Source organism: Homo sapiens, chromosome 5 (assembly GCF_000001405.40).
Source record: "Homo sapiens chromosome 5, GRCh38.p14 Primary Assembly".
NCBI classification, from domain to species: domain Eukaryota; kingdom Metazoa; phylum Chordata; class Mammalia; order Primates; family Hominidae; genus Homo; species Homo sapiens.
In genome coordinates, this window is record NC_000005.10 from 109906957 (window position 1) to 109914827 (window position 7871).

Consider the following 7871-nt stretch of genomic DNA (forward strand, 5'->3'; position numbering starts at 1 on the left):
GGGTTGTCTACAGCAGAGGAGGAAAAGATGAATGTGATTAACATATTCAGCTGGGAAAATATGCAGCAAGTTTCAAATGAGAGCTGTGAGGTACAAAGAGAAGAAGGTTGAGAGAAAATTTGGAAGTGAAGAGCTAAGGGGCCCAAAAGTAGCATCTAGAGTGAGAAGAATGGGCTAGAAGAAAAGTAGCAGTGGGTTTGATGCGTAGAGAGAGGCTGGCATGAGCGTGGACAAGATACCATCACAGCAGAAAACATGGAGCCACTTGGTGATGGGTTGGAGTCTTCTACATTGACCTTGATGCAGTGTGTATCTTCTGTTAACCATCCCCATGCTGCAATCTGTGACAGGATGGAATTTGTTGTGAATCCTTGTAGGGTCAGGGCCAGGAATCAGTGAGAATGACTGCATTGTGTTGATACTTGAGTCCCCTGCCAAGCTTGGTAGATAGGAACAGTCCACGCGGTGGCTGAGAGTGATGAGGTAATAATTGAAGAGACAGAGTAAAATGAACAGAAAACCACTGGGTGTTCAGTGCACAGAACTTCTTGGCATGCTGGATTTATCCAGCAAGAAAAAGAAATAGAGGGAAGACATTGGCTGATGATCTCTCGCTTGTAGACTTAGTTGCTTAATTGCCAATGAGGGAGAGATGCTGCTTGCAGGTGAGTTGCCAAAGTGAATAAACATGAGTTATGTTAAGAAATTAACAAAAGATAAATTTCAGGCAAGTTTCTGGAAAACACAGACTGGTGAGAAGATCCACTGGACTGTGAAAAAGCCTTACCCTTGGAAAGCGGAGGGAGTGCCATCCTTTAAGATATTTAAAACAAGACTAGCTAAAGCATCTGCTAGAATCTTATCCAGAAGGGAAAAATCCAGATCTGGCAAGAGATGAACTAGCTGATGTCTGGGAGCTCTCACACCTCTCATTCTTGATGTTGAAAAGCTGTGGTCAAATCCCTGAACATTTTCCCGAGCACATTTAAGACTGGGAGCTGTGTGAATCATTAGTCATTCTGGTAATCTCTAGGAGGCAGTGCCAGCTGTGGAATTTTGAGCAGATGTGGCAAAACAGCAGAAACCACCTTTTGGATTCATATCCTCTTGTCTCTCACTCTTATCCTTGGAAGAATCTGAGCATATTTTTAAAGGGCAAGTTAGGTGGTAGTAGAGTTGTTAAAAAAGAAAAAAAAGAGAGAGAGAGAAATCTGTTTGAGAGAGAGAGCTTCCAACTTCCTAATTTATATTAAGGGGAGAATAATTGTAAATGCCCAGATTTAAGTACAGTAAACTATGCCTTGATCTAACCATTATAGGACTCTGCCCAACCCAGAACAATTATCAACTGTTAATTATGCGTTTGAGCATGAGGCCCAGCAAATTGATAATTCCAGACCATCTTCCCTCTGCTGCCTATCTGTTTCTAGCCTGTCCCTTGGCTATTTGCTAGCAGAATAAACTATATCCTTGATAAGACTGCCATTTGAGAAAAAAATCCGTCTGGAAGGACTGGCAGAATAGAAGGGATAGGAGTGCTGCCTTGATAAGTCATAAAGACCATCTGTCAGCTCTGAATCTCTGATCTAGGCTGATTGGGGAAAAGACAGGTGCAGATTGAAGTTGAAAACAGTTTTTTTGAATGAATTTGTCAAAAGTTTGCCTTACTTAATTTCCACGAGGGTCTAAACCTGTGACTTTGAATCGGCCCTTGAGAGTGACATTTCCATTGCCTGACTCTCACACACATGTTGTGTAGAAAGGCAGAAAGAACCATTGATAAGGCATCAGAAACTCAGGGAATGAGGCCTGGCTGTATGTGACTTTGGACAAATCACTTGACTGTGTTATTTTAGCTTTCTGGTGTGTGAAAAGGTAGTAACTCTCTTTTAGAGTTAACCCACAAGGTTGTATTTATTAAGGGAGGAAAAAAAGGAGCAATTAATGTATTTTCTTCTGAAAGAAAAGCATTTAGATTAGAACAATTTGTCCTATCAAAAGCCAATTTCTCTATTCACTTAGTAACTGCAGCTCATCTCCTTTTACTTACTTAACTCCAGAAGTTCATCTTGTGTTCTGTATCATTAATATTCCCCATCAACTGGATCATTCCCATGGGTATACAAAAACTCTTAATATTTCTCATGTTAAAAGAACAAACACAAAAGAACTTTAATTCCCAGTCCCATGTCTTTCTCCACCTACTGCCCACTTGCACTGCTCCCCTCCATGACAAAACACTCAATGGAGTTGTCTATACTGTCCTTCTGCTTGCTCATCTTCCAGTCTGTTTTTAACTCATTTCATCAGGCTTTGTTCTCATCACTCATTTGAACCTGTTCTGGTAAAGTCACCAGTGACTTCCACATTGCTGAATCTAGTGATCACCTTACAGCACTCATTCTTCGTCAACTCTCTGCATCATTTGACACAATTTTTTACTTCTTGAAACACTCTTCACTTGACCTCCAGGCTGTGACAATTTTCTCATACTCATTCTGTCTCCTCAACTACTTTTCAGGCTTCTCTATGGGTTCCTTATCTTCTTTCTGATCACTGTTTTGGAGTTTGGGGGGGCTTATTTATCAGATTTTTGTCTTCTCTGTATTGTTAGGTGACTCCATCCAGTTTCATGGCTGTAAATATTATCTCCAGCCTCAACTTGTCCTTTGAATTACAAACTCCCATCAAGGTGCCTCTGTGGCATTGCCAGTGTCTATCTAATAAGTTTCTCAAACTTAGCATGTTCAGTACATCTATTCAGTTAGTCAGGCCAAAGTTCCAGGAGTTAACTTTGAATCTTCTTCCTTCATATCCTAAATCCTACCCATCAGCAAATCCTGTCCATTCTTCAAATTATATATCCAACTATTCTCCACCAAGTTCATGACTACTATCCTATCACTTGATCATTCTATTAAGTCATTAATATCCTATTCTATCATTCTATTAAGTCACCATCATCTCTCATTTGGACTAGGGTGAAAGTCTTGTAATGGATTTTGCTTTCACTCTAGACTGCCCAAAATCCAGTGTCCACACATCACCTTCAAAGATCTTTTAAAATCTCAAAGAGATTCTTTCACTTCTCATTCAAAATCCTCCAACTCAAATTCTTTACACTGGCCAATAAATCTCACATCAGATTTAATTTTATTTTCTATTTTTGTCCCCATTACACATTCTGTTCTGGTCATCTGAGCTTTCTTGGGTTCCTTAAACATGCCAGGCTTATTTTCTTCTCAGGCTCTTTGCAATTCCTGTTTCCTCTGCCTGAAGTTTCTCTTCCAGATTTTGAAGGATTTTATCCAGAGTCCTTCCCTGAGCATCTGACCTAAAATGGTCCTTGAGTCCCGGCTGTGTCGCCACAATCTCTCAACTTGATTAATTTTCCTTTAGAGCATCTATTAGTGTCTAAAGTTACATCATTTATTTTTTGTTTTTAACTTGCTTTTGTTTTTTGTTTTCTCAGTCTTTCCAAGTAAAGGTAAGTTCCCTGAAAGCGAAGTTTACTGTTGTATCCTCAGCATCTGAAATAAGACTAGCATATAGTAGATGCTTCATAGTGACTTTAAAAAATCTTATTAATTCACCATACCATCTAAATTTCTTTGAAAATCTCTTTGTCATGTTTAACTTTTGATGCATAAGGACATCAGGTCTTCCTTATGGAATCAGAAAATGCCTGCTGTGTTGGCTAACTCCAGTGCACTACTGTTTGTTCTCACAGTGTTGTTCAGTAGCCATGTTTGTGTAGTTGCTGATTCTTTATAACTCCTGCGGTTTTTTTCTCCCTAAGGAGTCCTAGATATGCCAATACATCACAAGGATACACCACAAGGGAAACTGACCACTTGGATGTGCTTTGGAATGGGCTTTTGGGGCAAAATTGAAAAAAGCAAACAAACAAACAAACAAAACAAACAAACGAAAACCAACCTGGGTTCTTTTGTAATTCACTTTCCTGAAACACGGATGTGTCAGTGTAGGGACTGCGGATGGAAGCAATTAGGGTGAGAATGGAGGTGAGCTGGTGAAAGAGCCAGCCAGGGTGAGAGTTGGCTCCAGTACATTGAAGAAAGCAGAACTGAGAGTCAGGGGCACAGACTGATATAACACCTCAAGGCAGAGCAGAGAGGCCCAGTGCTGGAAGGTGGGGGGCCTACTGATGGTGACTGGCAAGATGAGGGAGGTGATCACAGAGCTGGACCGTGGAGATAAACATCAACCTGCAGGAGAGAGGGGATAATGTTAAAGGAGAGGCTAATTTCTGCTTAGGGAGTCCTCAGCTCCTCCTTTCTGGGGTACTAACCGCACTCTTTATTCAACTTAATTATTTAGGAATTTGTTAAATGCCCATACATGCCAGGCTCTGTGCTAGCTACTGGAGATAGGAAGCGAAAAAGGAAGCCCCCATTCCCATTTTATGCCTTCGAAGTGCTTTTTACACAAGAAATCTTTTTAAAATCAGATAAATTTGCATTAATTTCAGGGAAAATAATGATGATGGAAATTAGTTGAGGTTGAGGGGAAAAGAAGATGGAACAGAAGTAGAAGACTTGAAGAGGTAAGGTACGTCCCTTAAAATATATATATTTTTAGTATTTATCAAAGGTTTCATCAGTGTAACAAGCATTTCACTGTCAGTAGGGGATTTTTTTCTTTTTTCTCCTTGCTCATATCAGCATAGGAGATTGGAGGATGGAATAAGAAATATTAAGTCAGTTACATAGGTATGTTATTTCTCAGAGTGTCAAAAAATTTTATATTGGGGATTCCAACGTAGGCAAACATTTATAAATGCTGTTCTTATCTTCTGTGCTCTTCTTTTTTTCCCTAGGACTCCTTGGAGAAGTTCACATGACATTCTGTTTGACGTAAAATCAGCATGTGTCCCAAGTAAATCAACAACAGCTGTTTTAAATAGCAGATTGTATTTCAAAATATCATTATGAACCAGGGGAAGAATTGCATGGATGCCTGTGTCTCCAGATTACAGTGATGGAACCTAGCATCTGGACATTGTGGCCATGGGCAGACAGATCTCAGAGTTGGCTGGAAGATGGTTATCTATTTAATGAAACAGTGATCTTTAGGGGGAAATTTTTTTCATGATTCATGGGTTAAAAATGCCAGCAAAAAAGAATGAAAGGAAAAAAGGCTCGGTTACATTCAGAGGTGTCATGCTTCTGTTGGCTAAAGCTTCTACTCAGAATCCTGTGCATTTCTCTGAATGGGGTAGCAAAGCAGTTTAATACTAGTCTGTTCACTTCAAAAGTACTCACACCAATAAACTAAGTAAGATTCAGTACCCATCCCCACAAGAGTTCTTAGATAACATGATGGACTAACTGTATTACACTGTGTCACTAAGAAAGTGTAGATTCTGTGACCTACAGGTTGTTCCAGGCACAGGATGGACCTGGCTGCACTTTTCAGTCTCTCTTGTTGTCCCCCACTGGTTAAAATTCCTTCGGCAATGCCAGCAGCACTTCTCCCTGCTCTGATTTTAGGCCTCAGAGGAGAATTTAGGCATTTCCCCTTCACCTTCTAACAAATGCTTCTTTGAACAACCTGCTTCCATGATGCTACCAAGTGAGCCTTTCCTGTTGGCACAACCCCACTGAGTTGCAGGGCAACAGCTTCATCCTGTGGTGGCACATGCAAATTTCAGAATCTCCATAGCCGGACCAGTGTGCCTGACCCAGGTGGGCACCCATTTCCTGGAGAGTCTCCTGTCTTATTTGCAGGCTTGCTGAAGGGTCCATCATTACATTGCATGACTGAAAGTGCAACTGTCATGACTCCTGGCTCTCTGCAGGCCTTGTCCATTGTGCACAATATTATGAGTCCTGTGGTCAGCCTTAGTACCTCAGGGAACTGCTGGACTTGATCTCATGCTCTAGATTCACTATGGCCTCACCATGTTGTCTTTAGATTGACAACTCTAGCAGGCTAGCCTGCTCACATATCCAGTCTCTAGGCCCAGGTGCTACCTTCTGTACCTATACTTCTAGCCTGCAGAGCAACCCCTCCATAAGGCTCTAATGCCCAGCCAGAGATAGTACTGTGGGCCCCCTTCTGCTTTGGGACAGGAGTTTGAACGTATCTCCACTGGTCACATACCTCCCAAAAAAGTTACTGAAAAACTTCTGTTTCTATCACTTATATCTGAGGTTGTCAAAGTTTTGCCTATTGTAAGTGAAAATGTGAATCCAGAAAGTTCATGGGTCCAGCTTGTGCTTTCCCACTGTCTGGTGTCTTCTTTGAAATACTTGCTCGCTCCAGGCCACTCTTGCCACAGTGAAAATTCATCTGAAAAACAAACAAACAAAAAAAGCCCACCTATTTATTTTAGAATATTTACTGTAAAAATAGAAAGCTTTCAAATGACAATGCCTCTGAAATGCTTTCCAGATAGGTCCAAATTATACTTACCCTTTAAAGCACAGCTCAAATGCCAGAAGTAATCAATAACTTCCCCTTTTGAATTCTCATAGCATTTTATCTGAAACACTCTTAAGACGCTTATACTTTTTCCCCTGGATTATTGTTACTGACACATAACCACCTTCCAAGAAAACTCTGTATAGTATAGGCTATTGTATTCCTCTATCTCCCACAATGCCTGTGCATGGAAGACTCTTAATATATGTTTGCTGATACAAAATACAGAACTCCTTGAAGGGGTTATGGTACTCTGCAAAATAATGACAACAAACACATTGAAAATGGCCACATTTCTGGCCAGTAGCTCCTGGTTGCTGCATATATCTATGGACAAGGGTAGTAGGGTCTTTTTAACTCTTTCTAGATTGTCCTCCCCGGGCAGCTGGAAGCCTGACTCCAAGAGTGAAGTTGCTAACGAGACAAATGGAAAGTGATTGTAACCATTCACCCAAACCATGATGGCATCTAATTAACAAGCATGGTTTTGACCACCATGTGAGAATATGAGTTCACACATGTGGTGCTAACCTTGCCAGGCAGACCTTTTGAAGGAAAATGGAATCTCACTGAATGGCAAAAATGTTCATTCTACAGAGAAAAGCATCCTGATTGTTTTAATCTAGCACAGGCAGGGAGCTCTTTCAGCAGGGAGATCTAGACTTCACTCTTGAACGTGAACAACAAAAGCCTCTTGAGCTTTCAAAGTACAATTCTGTCTTCTGCTCTTGCCTTCTAACTAACGCTGAAGGTCAGAGAAAGGAAATGGTATATATGATGTAAAAAACAATGGATACCAAAGTTGCTACTTTTCTCTCCAAGGTTAATTCTGTTTAGAATCTTCTTCACAGTGGACCTTTGAGACAACACAAAATAAAACCAAGGGAAATAGTGTGCAAATTGCTCTCTCTCCAGGAGAAATTTTGACAAACCCTTTATGGAACACTCTACTGAGCAAAGCATTCTTGTTCTCTTCCTCTTGTTGTTAATGGGGTTACATTCTTTTGACCTCAGAAGCAGCCAGCTTACCCCACCTTATATCGAAATCCTAAAGATATTTTTCAGTGCCTATCAAAACCAATAAATTTGGAAAGCACATTGTTCATGCTTTCTGATTTGCAGTTTTACTGTGTAATATTGAAAAGCCAGGGAGTATGTGAAGCTGAATCCTGAAAACTGGGCCTCATAAGGCATTTTTGGTGTGGCATGTAGGTTTTCCCTTCATCAGTCCGCTGGATGGTGCTTCTATACACACAATTGTCATCACTATTCAATATTCATTTAAGTGTCAACAATAACCAAAGTACAAATTATAAGCTTAAATAACATTTCTGGCCACAGTGAAATGCATGGTGAATACAGAGCAAAATGATTAATAAAGAAATGCAGCGTTTAGAAGATGAGGGAAGCAACAGGGTTCACTC

At 40.5% G+C, this 7871-nt stretch overlaps 1 long non-coding RNA gene across 2 annotated transcripts; it reads left to right on the forward strand.

The window, feature by feature from the left end:
* Positions 1-546: 546 nt before the first annotated feature.
* Positions 547-5315, forward strand: LOC105379119 (uncharacterized). 2 transcript variants are annotated; one of them, XR_948666.3, is made up of 3 exons: positions 547-665; positions 4493-4572; positions 4841-5315. It is a non-coding gene; the product is annotated as an uncharacterized LOC105379119 (long non-coding RNA). The 2 variants fall into 2 exon arrangements; XR_948667.3 differs by having other exon boundaries at positions 4493-4567.
* The last annotated feature ends 2556 nt before the right edge of the window (positions 5316-7871 follow it).